The sequence below is a fragment of the Homo sapiens genome, chromosome 19, assembly GCF_000001405.40.
Source record: "Homo sapiens chromosome 19, GRCh38.p14 Primary Assembly".
NCBI classification, from domain to species: Eukaryota; Metazoa; Chordata; class Mammalia; order Primates; family Hominidae; genus Homo; species Homo sapiens.
The window spans coordinates 37802156-37828070 of NC_000019.10; the positions used below are offsets into that span (position 1 = coordinate 37802156).

Consider the following 25915-nt stretch of genomic DNA (forward strand, 5'->3'; position numbering starts at 1 on the left):
ATGCACAGTTCACAGTAGGGTTCATGCTCCTATGAGAATCTAATGCCACCGCTGATCAGACAGGAAGCAGAGCTCAGGCGGTCATGTGAACAATGGAGAGCAGCTGGAAATACAGATGAAGCTTCACTTGCTCGCCCGCTGCTCACCTCCTGCTGTGTGGTCCAGTTCCTAACAGGCCACAGACCAGTACTATGGGTTGGGGACCCCATCCTAGAGTTTGAATGTCTGGCCCCCAGAAGGGAAAAAAGAGAAAAACAAAGAGGAAAGAAGGGAATTGGATCTTTAAATCACCTGGAAGTAGCTTCAGCTGGAGCAAGAGGGGCTTGGAATACTGGAGCAGAAGGGTGCAGCAATGGCAGACTGCTAATCTGTCTGCACTGCCAAGATCAGAAATAGCAATGAGAAATCAGATACCCAAGTTTTGGAGGACAGGTTCCTTGCTGCCCACCCTGGCTCCCTTAAGCTGCCAGATATGCATGGCTGCTTGCCCCATGGCTGGGGGATGAGTTGCTGCCTGGAGCTGAAATTAGCAGAAATTAACCACAGTTTGCCATCCATGCCTTTCCCTGGAAGTTACAAGCTTTGAATATATTCAGGTTCCAAAATGGTCACATAAGGTAGATTCTGCCAGTACAATTGTTGTCTAGGTGGGATGACACATTCCTAGTGCTTCCTGCTCTACCATCTTTTAGAACCCTCTGTCCATATAACTGTATTTTAGAGTTCTTTATATCATATCTAATAGATGAGATTATCAATTTTCTCTTAATTCTACCATACAACATTTACTTTTTCTGGTCAAGGAAACAAAGTGTTTTTCTTATTTCTTTTAGATTTGGATTCGAGGTATGAAATAATCAACTACGGGAACATGTACATTTATAGAAAACATTCATTTCTTACTCTCCATCAGATAATTCAATATGGAGAGAAACCCTATGAATGTAAGCAATGTGGAAGGCCTTTGGTCGTCATACAGACCTTAGAGTACATCAAGTAATTCACACTGGTGAGAAACCCTGTGATTGCCAGGAATGTGGGAAGGCCTGTGATTGCCAGGAATGTGGGAAGTCATCATACAGACCTTAGAATCCACAAAAGAATTCACACTGGTGAGAAACCCTATCAATGTGAAGACTGTGGGACAACCTTTAGTCGTCTTACAGACCTTAGAGTACATCAGAGAATTCATACTGGTGAGAAACCCTATGAATGTGAAGAATGTGGGAAGGCCTTCAGTCGTGCCACAAACCTTGCTCAACATGGAAGAGTTCATACTGGTGAGAAATCCTATGTGTGTCATGAATGTGGGAAGGCCTTTAGTGAAGTTGGAAGACTTAGGAAACATCAGAGAATTCATACTGGTGAGAAACCCTATGAATGTAAGGAATGTGGGAAGGCCTTCAGTCAAGCCTCAAACCTGGCACAACATGACAGAATTCATACTGGTGAAAAACCCTACAAATGTAAAGAATGTGGGAACGCCTTTAGTCACACGTCACATCTTGTTAGACGTGAAAGAATTCATACTGGTGAGAAACCCCGTGAATGTAAAGAGTGTGGGAAAGCTTTTAGGAGTAACCATCAACTTACTATACATCATAGATTTCATACTGGGGAGAAACCCTATGAATGTAAGGAGTGTGGGAAGGCTTTTAGTGTGTATGGACGACTGAGTCAGCATGAGAGTATTCACAGTGGTGAGAGACCCTTTCAATGTAACAAATGTGGAAAGTCCTTTAGGCTCAGTTCAAGTCTCAAAGTACATCAGAGCATGCATACTGGTGAGAAACCCTTTGAATGTGACAAATGTGGGAAGTCCTTTAGGTTTAGTTCAATCCTTCAAGTATATCACAGAATTCATACCAGTGAAATACTTTATGGCATATACATATAATAGACAATGCACAGTATATGAATGAATTATACCACTGAGAAACAGTTGAATGAAGAAAATGTGAGAAGGCTTTTATGCATGGATCAGTTTTTACAGGACGTAAAATAATCTATACTGGTATGAACTCTTTTGGAATATAAATATTTGAAGTTTTTAATTTATGACTCAAGTGTTCAGAGTATTTATGTTGTATTTTATAAAAGAAAGTATTTTATGGCATTCCTCTATGTTTCACTGTTCAATCTGTGGCCAGACTGTGCAGCCAAGGTTAAAAGGCAGGTAAGTGCCACCCAGGGAAGAGACTGGTACATGGTTTGAGGTTGTGGAAGACAGACTACAAGCACACCAGGCTCAAGTGGTTCAGCATTTACTTAAAGCTAGAGAGGAGAAAGAGTGCATAAGATCGTGCCGCTTGCAATGTGTCAGTCCCCCTAGCCAGCAGTTCCACTGTGCAGCTGATATGGAAGACACTAGCAACTGCACACACCCCACTTTGTGCTGCAGTGACAGGACTTCATCCCTTCCCCGCCTCGGGTCTGAAATACATAATGCTGGGAATGTGCTTCAAGGCCACTGACAGATGTGCTTAAGCAGAACAAAAGAGTATACAATAAGTCCAAAACAGGGAAATACAGTCCCACACAAGTCAATAATCCCAGCACAGGCTATGAGGGCTTTTGAATCTCATGGTAGGGAAGTGTTCCAGGCCCAAGGCTCAGTCTTATGTGGCCATGTGAGGGCTGAAAGACTGCATGACGGCCTTTCCCAACACTATTTATGGATTCTCAGAATATTTATACTAAAGGAATATTAAGAGAACACACAAAACCTTGTTTATTTGTTTTATGTATAAAAGCTTTCCAGCACAAATCATTATTAAACTTGAGTAAATTCATATCACAGAAAACCTCTGCTAATGTAACAGACAGACGTAGGAAAGCGTTTAGCCTTTGTATGATCTTAACCATTCTAATTGTCTTTCCACTCCTTGTTTTTTCTCATTCGTATATGGCAATACTAATAATATCTACATTATAGTGGCTGTTAGAACTAAATCAGTTCATTTATGTGGAAAACATGGGAAAGTTTTTGACATAATAGTTCATGTTCGATAAACATTAGCGACTGTTTCTAATACCATTTATGTTTTGAGATGAAACTCTTATGGGTCTAAGAATTTAGGAACATTTCATGTAACTGCTTACCCCTTTTTTAATGTGAATTTTTTCTTTCTGAACTACTCTAATAGAATGTAAAAAACCTGAGAGCATCTTCATTCTGAGGTCTTAAGGTGAATCAAACACTTAATCCTTGAATGAAATTTATATTTATACTTTTAGAAAGTGTAAAAAAATGTTAAATTAGCCAATGATTTACATTCCACTTCCACATTTCAAAATTGATTAGAAATTGGCCAAAGGATATCTATTTTGCCATTTCCCCCAAATTTATGAAAAATTAGAAACATAAAGAAAAGCTGAAAAACAGTACAGCAAATATATGTTAATATTATGTCATATGACCTTTCTGTTTTGTATATTTTGCTGCATCATTGGACAGTTGTAAACATCATGATGTTTCAGTTTTAAATATATCAAAATGAATCCCCCAAAGAGACAGATTTCTTTTTTTTTGCTTTTTTTTTTTAGGCGGAGTTTTGCTCTTGTTGCCCAGGCTGGAGTGCAATGGCACGATCTCGGCTCACGGCAACCTCTGCCTCCCGGGTTCAAGCGATTCTCCTGCCTCAGCCTCCTGAGTAGCTGAGATTACAGGCATGAGCCACCATGCCTGGCTAAATTTGTATTTTTAGTAGAGACGGGGTTTTGCCATGTTGGTCAGGCTCGTCTTGAACTCCCAACTTTAGGTGATCCACCTGCCTCAGCCTCCCAAAGTGCTGGGATTACAGGTATGAGCCACCGTGCCCGGCCAAGAGACAGATTTCTAATTACATAAGAAAAATAATAATTTTGGCCGGGTGCGGTGGCTCAAGCCTGTAATCCCAGCACTTTGGGATGCCAAGGCAGGCAGATCACGAGGTCAGGAGATAGAGACCATCCTGGCTAACACGGTGAAACCCCGTCTCTACTAAAAATACAAAAAATTAGCTGGGTGTGGCGGCGGGCGCCTGTAGTCCCAGCTACTTGGGAGGCTGAGGCAGGAGAATGGCGTGAACCCGGGAGGCGGAGCTCGCAGCAAGCCGAGATCGCGCCACTGCACTCCAGCCTGGGCAACAGAGCGAGACTCTGTCTCAAAAATAATAATAATAATAATTTCATATTCTAATGCCTAACCTGTATTCAAATTTTGAAAATTTATCCAAGTTATATCTTTTTGGTCATTTTCAAACTGGTATTTGCTCTAGTTTATGCCTTTATGATAAAGCGTTACTCACTTTTAATTTAGAATAGTGGCTGGAAAACTATGGCCTACAGGCTAATTGCAACCTGCCAGTGGATTTTGTAGTTTTATTGCAACACTACCACATTCACTTGTTTACATGTTTTCTTCTTACTACCACGTCAGAGATGTCATTGCAATGAGACCATTTGCAATGGTCACAAAACCTACTGTATATAATATCATGACCTTTCTAGAGAACATTTGCCAACTCATTTAGAACAATATCTCTACTGTTTTTTTTTTTTCATGAGTTTGGCTTTTTGAAGACCACAGGAAAGTTGTCTAATAGAATGCTGAACATTCTGGGTTGTTTTGTGTGTGTGTGGTTTTGTTTTTTCGTTTGAGACAGGGTCTCGCTCTGTCACCCAGGATGGAGCGCCATGGTGCAATCACAGCTAACTGCAGCCTTGACCTCCTGGACTTAAGCAATCCTCCCACCTCAGCCTCCCAAATAACTGGGACCACAGGTGTGTGCCACCATACCTGGTTAACTTTATTTTTTTGTGGAGACAGGGTCTCTCTATGTTGCCCATGCTGGTCTGGAACTACTGGGCTCAGGGGATCTTCCCACCTCAGCCTCCCAAAGTGGATTACAGGCATGAGCCATCACACCCAACTGTGGATTTTAAAAATTGTTTCATTGTGAAGTCTTATTTTTCTTTATCTTAGTCCTCATAGTTCTAGTATATTTGAAGTTAAACCAAGAGGTTTACTAGGTTATGATTAAGAATTTTCAGCAAGAATATGTCACAGATGATGTGCACACTAAAAAGCGTATAATGTTTGATTTTTTCCAGGACTAAGGATGCTAAGTGTCATCACTTGGTTATAGTGGTGATTGCTTGATCTCTCCAGAATAGAGCCCCATTATAAAGAGCCATTTTACAGTTATTAATCTCAGGGATATTGTGTCACATCCTTTTAGAAATCTATAATCCTTTTAGAAATCTAAAAGCAACATCCTTTTAGAAATCTTTAGAAATCTATAATTTAGAAATCTATAATTAATTAAATCCTTAATTAAATATGGAATTAAAAATGGAAATCAGGGCCTCTTCAGAAAGTAATAATAATTAAAGGCCTGTATATTAGAACATGGGGATATTGCCAGACCTTTTTGGGAATTTAATACCCTTCAATGCACACAGGAAACGAAGAGTAAAGGCCAGAATTTGTGTTCACCACTCTATCCCCAGAACCCATTCAATACCTGTTAATGAGCTGGCGTTGATAAACTTGATAAACCCTAAGCCAATACAAAGCAACAGTTAATACAACAGAAGAATTAGAGCCTAGTGATTAGTAAACAAAATAGTACCGTTTCAAACAGTTTTGTTCCCACCAGTGAAAAGCAATGAATGCGTCTACAAGTACATTTTTATTGATTGAGAAGTGAACCATTATCTTGAACAAAGGTGTGCCACTGGTCTCCAGGACCACTCAGGCTCAATGATTTGCTGGAAGGACTCCTGGGATCCAGAAGAGCTGCCATACTCAAACTCAAGGCGAAGGATGCAGGCAACAATGAACAATGGGAGAAGGCACTGGACAAAGTCCAGGAGAGACGAGGCACAAGCTTCCAGTTTTCCCCTTCCATTAGAATTGCATGGCAACAGCACTTAATTCTTCCCACCATGGTGTGTGCCAGCATGTGCAAAGTAGTGCCAAACAGGTAATCTCGTCTGAATGCTGGTGTCCATGGTGCCTGGGTGACTGAACTTAACTCCTGAATTTACTCAGTCTCCAGCCTTCCAGAAGTCAAGCTCATATAGCATGGGCCTTGGGCACACAAAATAGCCATTCATCATAAGTCACATTTTTTGCATAAACTTTGTGGTGACAGTGATACAGCATAGGAAGCACGATAGTCCAAGTACTCAGAGATTATCTCCCAGGGGCCAGTGAAGGGCCAGTCCTCCTGAACACAGGCTTTTCATTGGAATGTATAAGGGTTGAACACCACAGGCCTGCTGAGGTAACCCTTTCCTGCACAGTCAGGCAGTTTTGGGCATTCTTATTTCAGAGAACCTGATTACTAAAGTACCCATGTAATAAATGATAGATAGGGAAAAATCTTAAGGATATAAAAAATATTTCAGAAATATTATTTTTGAAAAAAATCAGGTTACAAGCCACATGTAGAACATGATATTATTTGTAAAACATACACATATTTCAATATAGGATTCAGGCCATTATATATAACTAGACTGAAAAAGTCTAGAATATCATACACCCGTATATTAACAGCGTTTATCTTTTTGTTTTGATCTTGGGGTATTTTGGTTAAATATATCATAATTTTTGGTCAGTTGCCATGCCTTACTTGAAATATATGTATGTAAACTTTTGTGTGTGTGTTTTAAGCGGAAACCTACACTCTCAAAAGCAGAACGTTCACTTTTTAAAACCATCTCGGCTGGGCGCGGTGGCTCACGCCTGTAATCCCAGCACTTTGGGAGGCCGAGGCGGGCGGATCACGAGGTCAGGAGATCGAGACCATCCTGGCTAACACGGTGAAACCCCATCTCCACTAAAAATACAAAAAATTAGCCGGGTGAGGTGGCAGGCGCCTGTAGTCCCAGCTACTCGGGAGGCTGAGGCAGGAAAATGGCGTGAACCCTGGGGAGCGGAGCTTGCAGTGAGCCGAGATCGCATCACTGCACTCCAGCCTGGGCAACAGAGCAAGACTCCATCTCAAAAAAAAAAAATAAAAATAAAAATAAAAAATAAAAAATAAAAAATAAAACCATCTCTACTTGATCTTACAGAAAAACAATAAATTTGGATTGTTTTTGCTGAATTACTTGTGTTTCCTTCAGTTTCCTCATAGCTGAACCTCCTCTAAGATTTCTGTCACATCACCTGAATCTGGATAGTGGTCCTTAATACATTGATTCCTAGTCAGAGTTTATTTTACTAGAATAAAAGACACCTTAGCAACTATGTCATTTTAGTCTACCACCTCAAATGCTATGATTGCAAGGTCTGTTACACTATAAGCACTTATACCTGTAGGCAAATTATACTTCTAGGAATTCGCTTAAGGAAATGCAATTACGCCTCACTTAGCAACAGGGATACACTCTGAGAAATGTGTGGTTAGGCAATTTTGTCACTGTGCAGACATCACAGAATGTACTTAAACCTTTGGTATAGCCGATTACACACACATCCAGGCTACATGGTATAGCCTATTGCTCCTAGGCTACAAACCTATACGGCATGTTACTGTAGTGAATACCGTAGCCAACTGTAACACAATGGTATTTGTGTGTCTAAACATATCTAAACAGAGAAAAGGATCAGTAGAAATATAGTATATAGCCAAGTGTGCTGGTGCACACCTGCAATCCCAGCCACTCTGGAGGATTGCTTGAGCCAGGAGTTCAAGTTCAGGCTGGGCAACATAATGAGATCCCATCTCAAAAAACAAAACAGAAAAACACAGCCTGGGTGTGGTGGCTCATGCCTGTAATCCCAGCACTTTGGGAAGCTGAGGCAGGGGGGTTGCTTGAATGCGGGAGTTCAGGACCAGCCTAGGTGACATGGCAAAACCCCATTTCTACAAAAAACAGAAAAATTAACCGGGCCTGGTGGCAGGCGCCCATGGTCCCAGCTACTCAGGAGGCTGAGGTGGGAGGGTCACTTGAGCCCGGGAGGCAGAGGCTGCAGTGGGCCGAGATTGTGCCCCTGCACTCCAGCCTGGGCAACAGAGCGAGACTCTGTCTCAAGAGAAAAAAAAAAAAAAAGATAGTATAAAAGATAAAAAATGGTACACCTATGTAGGGCACTTATCATGAATGAAGCTTACAGGACTGGAAGTTGCTCTAAGTGAGCCATTCAGTGGTGAGTGAACGTGAAGACCTAAAATATTTCTATACACTACTGCAGACTTCATGTAAACACTGTACACTTGGGCTACACTAAATTTATACAATAATGTTTTTCTCCAATAAGAATCTTAGCCTACTATAACTTGCAACTTAATTTTTACTTTTTGACTTTTGTAATAAGACAGATTAAAACACACATTATACAGCTGTATAAAAATATTTTCTTTTAAGTCCTTATTCATATACCTTTTTCTATTTTTAAATCTTTTTTTGCTTTTTGAACTTTTTTGGTAAAAGCTGAGACACAAACACACACCTTATCCTAGGACTGTGTCAGGATCATCAATATCACTGACTTCCAGCTCCACATCGCGTCCCATGGAAGGTCTTCAGTGGCAATAACACACACAGAGCTGTCATCGTCTATAACAATGCCTCTGGAATCCCTCCTGAAGGACATGCCTGAGGCTATTTTACACTTAACTTTTTCTTGTAAATTGCAGGACTACACTCTAAAATAATGATAAAGAGTATAGTAAACACATAAGCCAGTAACATAGTTATTTATTATCAAAGTATTATATATGTACAGTACATATTATCAAAGTAACTATATACTTTTATACAACTGGCAGCACAGTATGTTTTACACCAGCATCACCACAAATGTGATGAATGCATTGTGCTACGATGTTATAACAGCTACCACATCACTAGGCAACAGGAATTTTTCAGGTCCATTATAATCTTATGGGACCACTGCCATATATGTGATCTGTTGTTCATTGAAACATTATAGCCTATGACTGCACTAGTAAAAATACATAAAATGCATGTACAATGATGTTCAAAATGTATTTTTGATAACCAAACATTTAAAACAAAAATCTAACAGCAACACATTAATTACTTCGGCTCTGCTATATGACAACAAATACAATTTTTTTTGTTTTGTTTTTTGTTTTTTTTAGATGGAGTCTCACTCTGTAGCCCAAGCTGGAGTGCAGTGGCATGATTTCGGCTCACTGCAACCTGTGCCTCTGGGGCTCAAGTGATTCTCCTGCCTTAGCCTCCCAAGTAGCTGGGACTACAGGTGCGTGCCACCATACCCGGTTAATTTTTTTGTATTTTTAGTAGAGACGAGGTTTTACCATGTTGCCCTGGGTGGTCTTGAACTCCTGAGCTCCAGTGATCCATCTGCCTTGGCCTCCCAAAGTGCTGGGATTACAGGCGTGAGCCACTGTGTCTGTCTCAACATTGTTAATCATATTGATTTTAACCTAGACTAACAAAGAAACATATGCAAGAAGAATCACCGAGGAAGGCAGGTTTAAAATAATAAATTTCCAGCTGGGCAGGGTGACTGACATCTGTAATCCTGCCACTTTGTGAGGCCAAGGTGGGAGGACTGCTTGAGCTCAGGGGTTCAATACCAGCCGAGGCAATGTAGTGAGACCCTGTCTCTACAAAAAATGAAAAAATTAGCCAGATGTGGTGGTGCATGCTTATGATCCCAGCTACTCAGGAGGCTGAGGTGGGAGGACTGATTGAGCCCAGGAGACAGAGACTGCAGTGAGCCGTGACTGTGCCACTGAACTCCATCCAGCCTGAGTGATCAAGCAAGACCTTGTCTCAGAAAAATAAAAATAGAAATGATGACAAAATATATTTCCATAATTTGAAAATTTTATGCTGTTCAAATTCAGAATAATCGGGTTGTCACAGAGCTCATAGAGTTCATGACATCTGTTCTGTCCTAAGCAGGGCTGGAGTCACCCCAAAAGTGGCAGCAGGGAAGTTCTCAGAAGGAATTCCATCCCAAGATGGAGCCAGCTGGGATCCTAAAGACAGAAGCACTGAAAGTCCGGGCAATCAGTGCAAAGTGTTTACTAGGGGAATTTAAATATACAGGGCCGCGGCCTGAGAGGGATAACGAGAAGAGAGATGTGCCACCCATGTAATGTCCTTAATGAAGGGATTGGGTCATGGAGTTTACATGACAGTTAAAATATTTGGCCCAGGATCTAGTATACGTGTTTAGCAACATGGTTAATCTTTCAGTGCATCAAGCAACAACCTAAAACTAAATCAGTTCTTAGGAATGTGCAAGGCCCTGGTTTGGGTTTAGGCTCAAGCTGAAAACATGCAGCTGGTCAGGTCATAGTGGTCAAAGCATTCTGTTTCTTGGTCAGAACAAAGAAAGTGGGGGCAGCCAGAGTCTCCTACTTTTTTTTTTTTTTGAGACGGAGTCTTGCTCTATCACCCAGGCTGGAGTGCAGTGGCGCCATCTCGGCTCACTGCAACCTCTGCCTCCCAAGTTCAAGTGATTCTCCTGCCTCAGCCTCCCAAGTAGCTGGGACTACAGGCGCCTCCCACCACGCCCAGCTAACTTTTTTGTATTTTTAGTAGAGACGGGGTTTCACTGTGTTAGCCAGGATGGTCTCCATCTCCTGACCTCGTGATCCACCCACCTCGGCCACCCAAAGTGCTGGGAATACAGGCGTGAGCCACCACGCCCGTGGTGCCACCTGGCACTTTTTCTGTTGTTGTTTTTTTGAGACGGAGTTTCACTCTTGTTGCCCATTCCCAGGCTGGAGTGCAATGGCGCAATCTCGGCTCACCGCAACCTCCGCCTCCCGGGTTCAAGTTATTCTCCTGCCTCAGCCTTCTGAGTAGCTGGGACTACAGGCACCTACCACCACGTCCAGCTAATTTTTGTATTTTTAGTAGAGACAGGGTTTTGCCATGTTGGCCAGGCTGGTCTTGAACTCCTGACCTCAAGTGATCCACCTGCCTCAGCCTCCCAAAGTGCTGGGATTATAGGTGTGAGCCACCACACCCAGCCAAAATATTCACATTGGTTTTTACTGTACAAAGGTATTATGGATGATGTCTCTCCTTTATGTTTATTTCCAATTTTTCTCAGATATTATTAATTTTTATAAGGAAATTACTAAAGAACAAGGATTTCTTGTCAGGTCCTGTTTTTCTCTTATATTGTAAGACCTAAAATTTCATCTGTTATCTTAACACCTTTGAGCCTCACCGGGTCCCAAAGGCCTAACCATGAGTTTCCCTGCTCTCATCAGATATGCCCCCTACCCAGCAAGAAAGGCTCCCAGCCAGTTAGTTCCTTCGAAGGCCAGACCAGCTATATCCCACCTGGTCCTCAAGCTAATGGAGTTCATCTCCCTGCCAGCCCATGAAACCAATGAAGCAAGATAATCTCATTCTCCCATGGAAACCAGGGGGCGCCTCATCCTCTTACTATTATAAAACCTGCCTCTCACAGCCCCTGCTGAGGTAGTCTACTTCCAAGTGCAATCTTCCTGCAGAGGTGCTAACTTTCTTTCTTTGGGATATGCATTTTTATGTGATTAATAAGCTGCTGTCAATCTCATCTGTCCAGTTTCCAGGTGTCATGTGTCAGATACCTCCAGAACCATAGGGCAAGACTCTGTCACCACAAGGGAAAAGAGGTGGGCAAAACACTTTCCAATTCTTTTTTTTTTTTGAGATGGAGTTTCACTCTGTTGCCCAGGCTGGAGTGCCACCCTGTTACCCAGGCTGGAGTGCAGTGGCACGATCTTGGCTCACTGCAACCTCTGCCTCCTGGGTTCAAGTGATTCTCCCGACTCAGCCTCCCAAGTATCTAGGATTACAGGTGCTTGCCACCACGCCCGGCTAATTTTTGTATTTTTAGTAGTTGGGGTTTCACCATGTTGGCCAGGCTGGTCTCAAACTCCTGACCTCAATTGACCCACCCACCTCGGCCTCCCAAAATGCTGGGATTACAGGCATGAGCCACCACGCCTGGCTCCAACTCATTTTTACTTCCATTTCAGAGCTTTCAGTATCCATCGTGCATGGTTTTATAAAACTCAAACTTCAAATAAGGCACTAAATCATGTTCTCAGTCTAGTTTAATGCATGGTCTGAAGTTGAGCTACTCAAAATAATTTTGGAAAAGTGTCTGTGGCTGAAATTTCATTTTGCTAAGCATACAAACCTAAAATGAATATTATTTTAGTGTTGTCCTATTTGTAAGGGAGATCAGGCAAAAAAATTAAAGGTGTGGAATCTCTATTGAGCCTTGATTTACAGGGAAAAGGACTGTTTGAGATGACTTTTCAGGTTAAGAGAAAATGGACTATTAGAGTAAAAAGAATTGAGTCAAATGAATTTTGTTGGTTCAGGAAACAGATACTGGTGTGAAAATGTAAAATGGTACAATCATGATGAGAAATTTGTCAATGTCACAAGTTAAAATGCACATAGCAAACCTACTTTTGAGAATTGATATAAAAACGTACAAATATGTAAACTAATGTTTACACAAGTATATTGTTTGGAGCATTGCTTTTAAGAAAACATAGGGGCTAGGTGCAGTGGCTCCTGCCTATAATCCCAGCACTTTGAGAGGCCAAGATGAGCAGATCACTTGAGGTCAGGAGTTTGAGACCAGCCTGGCCAACATGGTGAAACCCCGTCTCCACTAAAAAATACAAAAAAATTAGCGAAGTGTGGTGGTGCATGCCTGTAATCCCAGCTACTAGAGGGGCTGAGTCAGGAGAATAGCTTGAACCCAGGAGGCAGAGGTTGCAGTGAGCTGGGATTGCAACAGTGCCAGCCTAAGAGACAGAGCAAGACTATGTTTCAAAAAGAAAGAAAGAAAGAAAGAAAACATAGGAAATTCCTTAATATACAGTAGGAGAAGGCATGTTTCTTAAACTAGGATGCAGCCATACTGGGGCCTTTGGCATTGTTGAAAATGACATTCCTTACGTACTGATTTGGAACTATGTTTACATGAAGAAAACGAAATATGTACTTATATATGTGTTGTGGAAAGTCTGGGACCCTGAACGGAGGGACCAGCTGAAGCCACAGCAGAAGAACATAAATTGTGAAGATTTCATGGACATTTATCAGTTCCCAAAATTAATACTTTTATAATTTCTTACGCCTGTCTTTACTGCAATCTCTGAACATAAATTGTGAAGATTTCATGGACATTTATTAGTTCCCCAAATTAATACTTTTATAATTTCTTATGCCATCTTACTTTAATCTCTTAATCCCGTCATCTTTGTAAGCTGAGGATGTATGACACCTCAGGACCCTGTGACGATTGTGTTAACTGTACAAATTGTAAAACGTGTGTTTCAACAATATGAAATCTGATTGTAAAACATGAGTGTTTGAACAATATGAAATCAGTGCACCCTGAAAAAGAACAGAATAACAGTGATTTTCAGGGAACAAGGGAGATAACCATAAGGTCTGACTGCCTGCAGGGTCAGGCAGAATAAAGCCATATTTTTCTTCTTGCAGGGAGCCTATAAATGGACGTTTGAGTAGGAGAAATATCGCTGAATTCTTTTCCCAGCAGGGAATATTAATAACTGATACCCTGGGGAAGGAATGCATTCCTGGGGGTAGGTCTATAGACGGCCACTCTGGGAATGTCTGTCTTATGTGGTTGAGATAAGGACTGAAATATGCCCTGGTCTCCTACAGTACCCTAAGGCTTACTAGGATTGGGAAATTCCAGCCTAGTAAATTCTAGTCAGACTGGTTGTCTGCTCTCGAATCCTGTTTCCTGTTAAGATGTTTATCAAGACAATGCGTGCATAGTGGGACACAGACCCTCATCAGTAATTCTAATTTTGTCCTTGCCTTGTGATCTTTTATTGCCCTTTGAAGCATGTGATCTTTGTGACTTACTCCCTGTTCGTACATCTGCTCCCCTTCCAGAATCCCTAATAGAAACTTGCTGGTTTTGCGGCTCAGGGGCATCACGGAACCTGCCGATATGTGATGTCACCCCTAGAGGCCTAGCTGTAAAATTTCTCTCTTTGTACTCTTTCTCTTTATTTCTCACACCGGCTAACACTTAGGGAAAATGGAAAAGAACCTACGTTGAAATATTGGGGGCTGGTTCCCCCGAAATAAACGCATGTTACATATATGTATATTTGGAATTATATATGGATATAAATACATTTGTATGTGTGTGTATATGTGCATATTTTTATATAAAAATACCTTCTCTGGAAGGATATATACCAAAATAAAAATGTTGACTCTAAGGTTAGCTACTGTATGACTGGACTATGTGGAAGGAAAGGCTGCTTATCTTTTTACTTAAACCTTTTCATACCTATTGAACTGTTATTCTATGTATGTATTACATATTTAAAATACGTAATAATGCTGATGACTAAAACATAGGCATCCTTTGATGAGTATGTTTCCCATTTGCTCAATGTCCTCATGAACATAAATACATATAAACACAACCTTGGTTCCTTTTTTTTTTTTTAAGACAAGGTCTCCCTCTGTCACCAAGGTTAGAGTGGCACTGCAGCCTCGACTTCCCAGGCTCAAGCCGTCCTCCCACCTCAGCCTCCTGAGTAGCTGGGACCACAGGTTCGAACCTTTTTATTTTTTGCAGAGTCAGGGTCTTGCTATGTTGCCCATGCTGGTGGCGAACTCCCAGGCTCAAGCAATCCTCCCACCTCCGCCTCCCAAAGTGCTGGCATTACAGGCATGAGCCACCACGCCTGGCTCAATTCTTCTGACAGCACCTTCTACCCAGATTTTGGGCGTTTGGCCACAATTTATCTTCACTGTCTTGGGATCTCATGACCAGGCATTACCAATGAAAGATGTTTCTCCAGTCTATGGGCTTTAAAATGCAGCAAAGCCCATCCATGCAAAATACAAAAAGTATTACACAAGCGTACAGAATTGTACATTATAAACCTACCTTCAGGAGTTTATACCAACTCAAGCGCGCGTTGTTACTCGGGGTCACAGCACTGATTCTACAGGGCAGTCATCACACACGTCTGAGGCCTCAGAAGAGCGTCGAAGTCACCTTTCAGCCTACCCCAGCCAGGTTCCACTCAGACTCGCCTCCTGGGGCCCTAAGAACACAGGAACACCGCCCTTGACCTAGCGTCAGAAACGTTCCCTCACGGGTTGGCCGCTCTGCGCATGCGCACTCCTAGCCCAGGCTGCAACTCCCCGAAGCCTCCGGGACTCGGCGGTGGGCGTGGCGGGCGGTCGCCGTGGTCACCACGGCTTTTCTCAGAGGTTTTAACGCCCCTAGACTTCATTTCCCGACAGGGACTGCGGGTCTGGATATTCCGTCGTGGACTACGTTTCCCACTGACGACGGAGAAAACTTGGTCCTTTGGCTCCGCGCTGCGCGTGACCTGCAGTCACCTGAGCAAGAGGGCGGCGTGGGTCGCTGCGGGAGCCCCTACAGCCCCAGCCCGCAGCCCACGTGGCACCCTACAGGGCTGTGAGAGTGGGGCTGCTGGAGGCGTTCAGAGCGCGGAGGCCCCAGGCGCGGGCCGGGCTCTCTCCCGCCTCCTCAGGCCCGGGGGTGCTGGAGCTGCCGAGGTGGGGGCTCATCTTTGGGAGACAGGTGGGGAGTGTGAGAGACCGCGCAGCGGCGACAGGGCCGGGCGTGCCTGTGTGACGTGGGTGCAGCTGTGGGACTGTGAGGGGTGCGTGGTCGACCTTGCGTAACCTGGATGTGCAGTGCGTGTCCTTTGCAAAGCGTGCGTTGCTGTGGCTCCGTGGCGTCAGCAACCCTTCCCTGCTGTTTCCTTTGTCCTCCTCTCAGTCAAGTATGACTGCCACAGAGAAATGGTCCCATCCAGGAAATCAGATATTGAGTCCTACCTGAGTTTCCAGCAAGAAGGTACGGACTTGCTGTTAGGATGGGAATTATGGATCAGGAATTGCCCTGAGATGGGGTCCTGGTAACAGATAGACTCTAGGATAGGATTCCCTCCTGGGGATTGCGGCAGAGTGTACTTGCAAGTGGAGCCTTGAAGGGTAAGATCATAAATGTTCTACATTGTGGTGACTCTGGAATTTGTAGTATTTGGGACAATACAGTTACTAAAAAGACATTATTGCGTCCTTTAAAATGTTTATTATCTGTCAGTGAAGGTAATATCTGAATAGGATTAATATGTGTTAGGCAGTGTGTGATCCTACCTCGTGAATTCGCTGGAAATACACTTCAGTCTGTCTATCACAACAGGATATGAACAAATTATACCAATCCTGTTGAATCTATGGCAATAAATAGATTTTGTGCTGTAACTTTCGTGGCTCACAGTTTCCTTCTAATTAGGTTAGATGCAAAATGAAAGTATTATAATAGAATAAAGTAATTCGGCCGGGCGTGGTGGCTCACACCTGTAATCCCAGGACTTTGGGAGGTGGAGGCGGGCGGATCACGAGGTCAAGAGATCGAGCCCATCCTGGCCAACATGGTGAAACCCCATCTCTACTAAAGATACAAAAATTAGCTGGGCGTGGTGGCGTGCGCCCAGTCCGAGTAGCTGGGACTACTCGGGAGGCTGAGGCAGGAGAATCGCTTGAACCCAGGAGGTGGAGTTTGCAGTGAGCCGAGGTCCCGCTACTGCACTCCAGCCTGGCGACAGATCGAGACTCCATCTCAAAAATAAAAATAAAACAAAATAATAATAATTCAGAAGCTGTCTGAGGGGACATGACTTATCTGACAGGCTTAGAAACAAAATAAGCCTTTTTGTCCAGAAGATCTGAAATAAAGCTGTGTGGTGACCGCCATCAGTTTATTCAAAAGATTACTCAGGGACTACTCCCCATTTTTTCAAGACAGAATTCTGTCATACCTGAGAAGAAATGATCAAGTAAGTTCAGATAATAGGATCCAAAGGAAACAAAAGATAAGACATTTAGTATAACAACGTAAATGTAGAGAACAAAGACATTGTCTCAAGTCCCTTTCTTTTGGGGGAACATCTTCCTGTTAACAACAACAACAACAACAAAAACTAAAAAAGCCCACATGTGTTTCAAGTTAACCTATTGTTATTATTGGAATAATTATGAACAAGGCTTTAAAAATTAAAATCAAGGTCAAACAAAAAGAAAAATAGTGTTAATAGGTGGCCATATAACCTTCCAAGTTTTTGTTTACTGATTTCAGTAATCGTCTGCTTCTCTGTATTGATAGTCATGTTTTATAATAATGATTATATTGGCCAACCTGATTTTTCTATTGACAGTATATCTGAAATATTTCCTGTGTCCTTAAGTATTTTTCACAGCTTCCCATTTTACATGTACGATGGTCTGCCATATCTAGTAAGCTTTGTCAGATCCAAAATACTAAATGCTGCCTTTCTGTCCCCAGTGTCTTTGCTCAGTTCAAAAGCCACAGAAGAAGTTCTGGACGATGTGGGCCTTCAATCTTCTAAGATGGGAATAGAAAGAAGAGGATCTACCCAGACCAGGACCCTGCTGCCCAATCTCAGGTCTACATCTGCCTCACCAAAATAATACAGTGGCCAGAAACCTCCCTGCTAACATCATAGTTTGTCTGTGATGCAGAAATGCCTCTGTTTTGTTGTTGTTTTGTTTTTGTAGAGACAGGGTCTTGCTCTGTCACCTAGGTTGGAGTGCACTGGCACAATCATAGTTCACTGCAGCCTTGAACTCCTGGACTCAAGCGATCCTACCGCCTCAGCCTCCCAAGTAGCTGGGATTATAGGCATGCGCCATCATGCCTAGCTGATTTTTATTTTGTAGAGACTGGGTCTCACTATGTTGCCCAGGCTGGCCTTGAACTCTTGACCTCAAGCGATCTTCCTGCCTCAGCCTCCCCAGTTGCTGGGATTACAGGCGTGAGCCATCGTGCCTGGCCCCAGAAATGCTTCGCTTCTATGACTTTGTTCAGTGGAGACCTCTGTGATTTGGGGGAGGAAATAGATTTATCCAGAACCCCAATTTGCCCGAATTATGTATGATGGGAAATAGTTTGAGACCTGGAATGGAAGAGCATCACAGCAATATTAAGTAACTTAAGGTCTGTCAGGAACACTAATGCAAAACTGGTCTCAAGGTCTTTCTTCTTCCTCCAGCTCTGGCTTTCTGGATCTGTGCTTCTCTGGTAGAGGAACCCTGAGGACTGATCTACTCTTGCAGTTCTAAAACCATGGCCCATGTAAGTTCACGTTTTTCTCCTTGTTGAAATATGTGTGTGTTGGCCAGGCACGGTGGCTCAGGCCTGTCATCCCAACACTTTGGGAGGCCAAGGCGGGTGGATCACCTGAGGTCAGGAGTTTGACACCAGCCTGGCCAACATGGTGAAACCCTGTCTCTACTAAAAATACAAAAACAGCCCAGCATGATGGCAGATGCCTGTAATCCCAGCTACTCAGGAGGCTGAGGCAGGAGAATCGTTTGAACCTGGGAGGCAGAGGTTGTAGTGAGCCAAGATTGTGCCACTACACTCCAGCCTGGACAAGAGCGAAACTTGGTCTCAAAAAAAAAAAAAAGAAATATGTGTGTGTTTTTAGGTCATGAAGGTATTTTTATTAATTTTCCTGAAATTTCCTACCAGGAGAGGCTCATCAAATAACATGCTTCCAGCTCTTATTCTTCCAGTTCCCAGCATCCACCCAATATGTCCCATTATAAACCTCCTTTGTTCATGTAATTACTGAGCAAATTATTCAGCATGTCTTAAGAGCCCTCTATCAAGGGCAGTGGTGGAGTTAAGTCCTTTTAAGTAAAGATTTGTGCTTTTTGGGTCAAGTCTAGTTTGGTAAGATAGAGTCAATGGTTGTATTTGACCATCCATAACAAAACTTAAATTATCACCGACTGGAGATTTCCAGGAAGTGAAGATGAAAATTTGGTATTGAATGATCAAACTCAGTCATTCATTGGGTGAAATCTCATGCTTTGTGTGGTTCAGTAAATGACTGGGGACTTGCAAACTTGGAGGTTATGGATTTTGGCAAGAAACCCCTCAGGAATAAATATCAGGACTATTCTGATGTTGGATGGAACCTACTAAATTTAGATGACATGTATATAATTCATTATTCTTCCTTAGTATTCTTTAACTCAATGCATTTGTTATCTATTATTACATAACAAATTAGACCAAAACTTAATGGCTTAAGACAGCAAACATTTATCTCACAGTTTCTTTGGATCAGAAATCCAGACATGGCTTAGCTTGCCTCTCTGGCTCTCGATCTCTTACAAGGAGATCCAGGTTTTGGTCAGGACTACAGTCATCTTAAGGCTTAACTTGGGGTGGATCTTTTTCTAAGCTCACTCAACTAGTTGTTAACAGGATCCAGTTTCTCACAGGCTTCAGACTGACAGTCTTAGTTCCTCATTCGCTGTTGCCTGGAAGCTGCTCTTGGTTTATTGTCATGTGGGTCTGTCCATAGAATAGCTTAAAACATGGTGGCTGTGTTTTAATCAGTGAGCAAATGAGACATCAAGAGAGGGAGAGAAATACAGAAAAAGTGCTGAAGTAACATTTCAGCACTGTAGCTATTCTGCTTATTAAGAGCAAGTCACTTGGTTCAGCCCACGTGCAAGGGAAGGAGATTACACAAGCATGTAATACTATCGGATGGGGATCTTTGGTAACCTATATAGCAAGCCAGGTGCTCAGTGAGAGATGGTAGAGAGCCACAAAAGAGAATGTCATTATAAGTAGCAAGTGAACACAGAATCCTAGAACTGGGGAAGACCTTAAAAATGTTGTGTATCCTAACTGCATTGTAAACAAGTAAGTCTGATATTGCCCTAAGATATAATTCTCATGTGCCCCCAAAATACATGGATTTGTCAAAACAAGAGAAAAATGCTTATGGTGAGATCTGATGTAATGAAGTATTTAATGCTTGAGAGAATTCTTAATTTTATGTAAACCCTATTTTCTAAAATCAAGGCCAGGTGCTGTAATCCCTGTAATTCCAGGTGTTCACACCTGTAATCTCACCACTTAGGAAGGCTGATATGGGAGCATTGCTTGAGACCAGGAGTTCAAGACCAGCCTGGCCAACACAGCAAGACCCTGTCTCTATTAAAAATAATAATAATCAAGACTTTATACTTCATTTGGGGAAAATATCTGATTAAATTTTTTGCTCCTCTTAAAAGCAAAAATTTTCCCCAGCAACTCATATGTATTTAAAAATTTATATGGCAGATACCAATCAGACATTATGCTTATATTCACTGTTTACTTTCATAGGCAAACATTATTATTTTATTTATTCCCAAATGGTGCAAGTATTTTAGAGTATGCCACATAGTTTTCTATATGCCAGCAGTCTTTTTCAAAAATACGTATACATTCCACTTCAGTCCCCCTCATACTGTAAATTTGTAGACAACATGCTTGTTACATTGCTCTCTTCCTGCAATACAGTCCTTATTTCCCCTCCATCCATCTTGAAAGTATTCCTTTAATTTCTCCAGTAACACTATGGGTTTGCCATTTCGGGCATCAATGACATTCAGGGATGTGGCCATAGACTTCTCGCAGCAGGAGTGGGAATGTCTCGACCATGTTCAGAAGACCTTGTATTGGGATGTGATGATGGAGAACTGTAGTAACTTGGTATGTTTTCTGCCTCAGACAATTTAGGATAACTTTGAATCTGCTCTCTAGGATGATTTTTCATTGTGATTTTTAGGGCTGTCTTTCAAGAGACTAGTTAAATTTCTTTTCCCTTTTCCCCAAAGAAGTGGTTTGGGCTTTGTTGGGTAGGAAGTGACAGCTTCACTAGACATACTCATCTTCCCTGTCCCTCAGTGATGTTCAAACTTTTCTCTGGTCATAGTTACAGTTGTCTTTCTTCTTTTATAAGGAAGGGCTAGATTAGGATTCAGCAGCCTATATTATATAACCATTGTAAAAGGATCCAGGTTTCCTATTTCTTTATGCTCCGAATTACTGTGGATACTCCATTATAGCATCTGATCCACTTGCAGATTACCTTGACATAGGATCCTGAATTGCTCTAATTATCAAAAGAACCTTTATAATGTATATAGCTTTGGATTAGATAAATTGAATTCATTTAAAACTGAAGCAAACACATTCTATTTCCTAAGCAAATTTTAACTTATTCGTGGTTGAAAGTTGTGGTTTAAAGTTGTCATCTATAAACATTACATTTTAAATGGAATGAATATCCTATAAATATCTTTTCTTGTATACTCTTAACAAAACAACAATATCAATAATAACCTTAGTAGTGAACACTGTGTCTATTAAAGGTAGTGTTCTAAGCATTTCACATATATGTCTCAACCAATTTAATCCTTATTAAATTCGACAATCTTATTATATCCTCATTTTCCAGTTGAGAATATTAAAGCCCAGTGGATTTAAATGACTTGCTGAAGGTCATGCACAGCTGGGAGGTGGTAAAGGCAGGAATTGATACCAGGCTCTAGAGTCTGTATTTTCAACCATGGTATTATGTGTACTCTCAGGAAAAAAAAAAAAAGATATGGGTGTGTAGGTTATATTTAAAATCCTTACCCAACCTAACTGATTTCTTGTTCTTTAATTTCCTCATCCTCTCAAAAACCTTATTCAGTTTCATTTTGATCCTTGATTTATTACAATTGTAATTTTGACAGCAAAGTATGTTTCTATATCAAGTGGCCTTTTTTTCTTTGTAAGCAGGACATGACTTTTCTAAGCCAGATGTAATTACATCATTGGAGCAAGGAAAAGAGCCCTGGATGATTGTAAGGGAAGAAAAAGGAAGATGGTGTACAGGTAAAAATAAGTCTGACTGTGGGAAGCCATCTGTGTAAATAACAACCTGTGTGGTCAGGGAAGAGACATACACTTGGGATGTTAGTTGGAAATCTCCATTCACAGCAGAGAAAAGGTGTGTGATTTATAAGGAAGATAAATACTCTGCATAAGCTACCCAGTGAGCTTCACCTTCACCTTAACATTCCTGGATGGGAACTTGCTATCCTTGAAGTGACAAAAGAACAAATGCCATCCCTCCAAGATCTGGTGTCTGGTCTACCTGCACGTCCAGGAGTCCCAGCCAAACCCCGGCTCTTCTTTTCACTTTTCTTGCTTTTACCTTCTTCTTGCTCATCAATTTTTACGATGTCTTCCTTAGGTTCTTCTGTAGTCACCTCTGAAATATCCTTCAAATCTTTTTTCTCTTTCCACAGCACATCTGCAATTCTGCCTTTTCTCATTGACTTTTTCCAAAGCCTTTTAATGTGTTCTTTTCTTTCCAGCTTAGAGATCACATCTCCATAATCTTTCATGCTACCTTGATCTATGGCTTCCATGGCGTCTGTGGCCTCCAGGGCTTCTGTGGCCTCCATGGCCTCTATAGCTTGTAAAATGACCTCCTGCTCTGTTTCAGCATAATCCTGGGATTTGACTGTGCTTAGAGAACTCAGTGGTAGCTCTGGCTCTAAGGTAACATGTTGGGTTTCAACTAGCTCTGATTTCCCGGCCTCTCTTTGTTCACCTGCATCTTCTGAAGGCATCAACATGGAACTAGACATTTCCAATTTTGTCTTTCTGTGCTTCCTGGCAACTCTCAGGTCCTTTTTAACTGCAGAGATATTGGGAGAAAAACAGTTAACAGAAACACAGAGGTCTTGAGTAAGATCCTTTGTAAAATCTAATTCATTGAGCTACCATAAGAGATACAAAGCAGGGGGACTAAGGCTTTATGATATGGAAATGCTCGGTTTCATCCCACCATCCATATTCTAACAAAATAAGAGCTTGGTATTTGCTGTGGGGTAGATCTTTCTCAGGAATGTCACTTTCTGTGAATAAGATTCTCCCACTGAACTCCATTCTCACTAGTATCCTTTCATATACCTTGGCCTTACCCACCCTGCCTTTTGGGGCCCTGAGGTTGGCCCCAAACATGCCCCATATATCACCCTATACATACTAAGCTTTCTGCTCCTTGCTTGAAAATGTCTCTTTCTTTTCTTTGGTTTGGTGATCTTTACAGGTTCTGACAAAGGTATGCACATGTCTTCAGAAAAGACCTTAAGTTCTTCAGACCATGGTATATCAAAAGAAAAAGTAAATGACTTTTCTCTTTGTAACAAGGTCAAGTTTTCATTTAGCTGCTGCTCCACATGAATAAGCAGGGACTGTATATCTTCAGCTTGAATATTCAGCAGTTGGCCCAGAGTGATTTCTCCGATAATTTCTTGCCTATATAAGTCAAGGGAAAAGAAGTACAGTACTAAGCTAGTGATAGAACAAAATTCAAAAAAGAAAAAGTTACAATGGAAGAGAGGGATAAAGTAGTAATTTAGAACAGGCTGAAGTAAAGTCTGGTTAAAGAAGAAAGAATGTAGCTGGATGCAGTGGCTAACGCCTGTAATCCCAACGCTTTGGGAGGCCAAGGTGGGTGGATCACTTGAGGTCAAGAGTTCAAGACCAGCCTGGCCAATATGGCGAAACCTCATCTCTACTAAAAATACAAAAATTAGCTGGGCATGGTGGTGGGTGCCTGTAATCCCAGCTACTCGGGAGGCTGAGGCAGGAGAATCACTGGAACCTGGGAGGCAGAGGCTGCAGTGAGCCAAGATAACATCACTGCACTCCAGCCTGGGTGACAGAACGAGATTCCGTCTCAAAAAAGAAAAAAGAAAGACTGAGGGATGGCAAGGAATGTAGTGCCACATAACTCGTTCTATTGTGCGTTGCTTTATTATGCTTCACAGACACTGTGTTTTTTACAAATGGAAGGTCTGTGGCAACCCTGCCTAGAGCAAGCCTCTCAGCATCATTTTTCCAACAACGTGTGCTTGCTTCTTGTCTCTGTCACATTTTGCTAATTTTGATAGTATTTCAAACTTTTTCATCATTATTATTGTATCCATTTTGGTGATATGTTATCAGTGATCTTCGAAGTGACTATTGTAATTGTTTCAAGGCACCGTGAGCTGCACCCATGTAAGATGGTGAACTTCACCAATAAATGTTGTGTGTATTCTGACTGCTCTATTAACCAGCCATTCCCCCATCTTTTCTCCTCAGGCCTCGCTATTCCCTGGGACACAACAATATTGAACGTAGGCTAGTTAATAGCCCTACAATCTCCTCTAAGTGTTCGAGTGAAAGGAAGAGTCACATGTGTCTCACTTTAAACCAAAAGCTAGAAATGATTAAACTTAGTGAGGAAAGCATGTTGAAAGTCCAGACAGGCTGGAAGCGAGGTCTCCTGTGCCAAACAGCAGGCCAAGTTGCACATGCAAAGGAAATGTTCTCGAAGCAAATTAAAAGTATTACTCCAGTGAACACACAATGACAAGAAAGCGAAACAGTTTTATTGCTGATGTGGAGAAAGTTTTAGTGGTCTGGATAGAAGATCAAACCAGCCACAACGTTCTGTTAAGCCTAAACCTAATCCAGAGCAAGGCCCTAATGCTCTTCAATTCTATGGAGGCTGAGAGTTGAGGAAGCTGTGGAAGAAAAGTTTGAAGCTAGCAGAGAATAATTCATGAGGTTGAAAGAAAGAAGCTGTCTCCAGAACATAAAAGTGCAAGGTGAAGCAGCAAGTGCTGATGGAGAACCTCCAGCATGTGATCCAGAAGACCTAGCTGAAATAACTGATGAGGGTGACTGCATTAAATAACAAATTTTCATTGTAGACAAAACAGCCTTCTATTCAAAGAAGATGCCATCTAGGACTTTCATGGCTAGAGAGGAGTCAATGGCCGGCTTCAAAGCTTCAAAGGAAATGCCATGTCTCCTGTTAGGGGCTAATGCACCTAGTAACTTTAAGTCAAAGCTCATGTGTATTTACCGTAATGAAAGTCCTAGGATCCTAAAGAAGGGTGCTAAATCTACTCTGCTTGTGCTCTATAAGTAGAAGAACAAAGCCTAGATGACAGCACATCTCTTTATAGCATAGTTCACTGAAGATTTTAAGCCCAATATTGAGACCCACTGCCAAGAAAGATAGATCATTTTCAAAATATTACTGCTCACTGACAATGTGCCTCATCACCCAAGAGATGTGATGGAGATGTATAAGGAGATTAATGTGGTTTTCATGCCTATTAACACAACATCCATTCTTCAGCCAATGAATCAAGGATTAATTTTGACTTTCAAGTCTTATTTAAGAAACACATTTTGTATGGCAATAGCTGCCATAGATAGCAGTTCTTCTCATGGATCTAGGGAAAGTAAACTGAAAACCTTGTGGAAAAGATTCAGCATTCTAGATGCAATTAAGAATACCTGTGATTCATGGGAAGAAGTCAGGTATCAACATGAACAGAAGTTTGGAAGAAGTTAATTCCAACCCTCACGGATGACTTTCAGAGGTTCAAGACTTCAGTGGAGGAAGTAACTGCTGCAGTTACTTGTGGTGGAAATAACAAGAGAAATAGAATTAGAAGTGGAGCTTGATGATGTGACTGAATTGCTGCAACCTCATGATCAAACTTGAATGGATTAAGAATCTACTCCTGGTGAAGATGCTTTGAACATTGCTGAAAGGACAAGGATATTAAAATATTACATTAATTTAGTTGATACAGCAGTGGCAGGGTTTGAGAAGATTGACTCTAGTTTTGAAAGAAGTTCTATTTGAGTAAAATGCTATCAAACAGCACCACATGCTACAGAGACATCTTTCATGAAAGGGAGAGTGAACTGATGCAGCAAACTTCTTTGTCTTATTTTAATAAAATGTTATACCCACCTCAACCTTTAGCACCCACCAGTCAGCAGCTATCAATATCAAGGCAAGACCATTCACCAACAACAAAAAAAATGACAACTCGCTGAAGGCTCAGATGATCATTAGCAATTTTCAGCAATAAAGTGTTTTTAATTAAGGTATCTGCATTGATTTTTTTTTAAGATGAAATTTTGCTCTTGTCACCCAGGCTGGAGTGCAGTGCTGCAATCTCAGCTCACTGCAGC

General features: G+C 41.7%; 2 long non-coding RNA genes and 2 pseudogenes across 4 annotated transcripts in view, besides 1 other annotated feature; 2 read left to right on the forward strand and 2 right to left on the reverse strand.

The window, feature by feature from the left end:
- Positions 1–15117, reverse strand: part of LOC105372394 (uncharacterized) — a 26083-nt gene extending 10966 nt beyond the window's left edge. Inside the window, exons 1-3 of one of the 2 annotated variants that reach the window (NR_187849.1) lie at positions 14906–15117; positions 8450–8645; positions 5657–6076 (exon numbers count right to left, since the gene is read on the reverse strand). This is a non-coding gene — a long non-coding RNA (uncharacterized LOC105372394). Of the gene's footprint in view, positions 1–5656; positions 6077–8449; positions 8646–14905 lie in introns of those variants that run through there. The other variant, NR_187848.1, reaches the window with a different exon arrangement.
- Positions 832–1825, forward strand: LOC100128948 (zinc finger protein 607 pseudogene; annotated as a pseudogene).
- Positions 14914–15415: an enhancer, noted in NCBI's record as "H3K27ac hESC enhancer chr19:38307709-38308210 (GRCh37/hg19 assembly coordinates)". NCBI's record gives its function as "activates a minimal SCP1, AML or CMV promoter by ChIP-STARR-seq in naive H9 embryonic stem cells {active_cell/tissue: H9 hESC(naive)}" and the evidence as "EXISTENCE:reporter gene assay evidence [ECO:0000049][PMID:30033119]".
- Positions 15256–24483, forward strand: LOC644554 (uncharacterized). Its single transcript, NR_040013.1, has 5 exons — positions 15256–15546; positions 17342–17462; positions 18069–18151; positions 21656–21751; positions 24017–24483. It is a non-coding gene; the product is annotated as an uncharacterized LOC644554 (long non-coding RNA).
- Positions 21567–25915, reverse strand: part of WDR87BP (WD repeat domain 87B, pseudogene) — a 31475-nt pseudogene continuing 27126 nt past the window's right edge. Inside the window, exons 5-6 of the transcript NR_040015.1 lie at positions 22914–23185; positions 21567–22562 (exon numbers count right to left, since the gene is read on the reverse strand). The product of NR_040015.1 is annotated as a WD repeat domain 87B, pseudogene (transcript). The remainder of the gene's footprint in view (positions 22563–22913; positions 23186–25915) is intronic.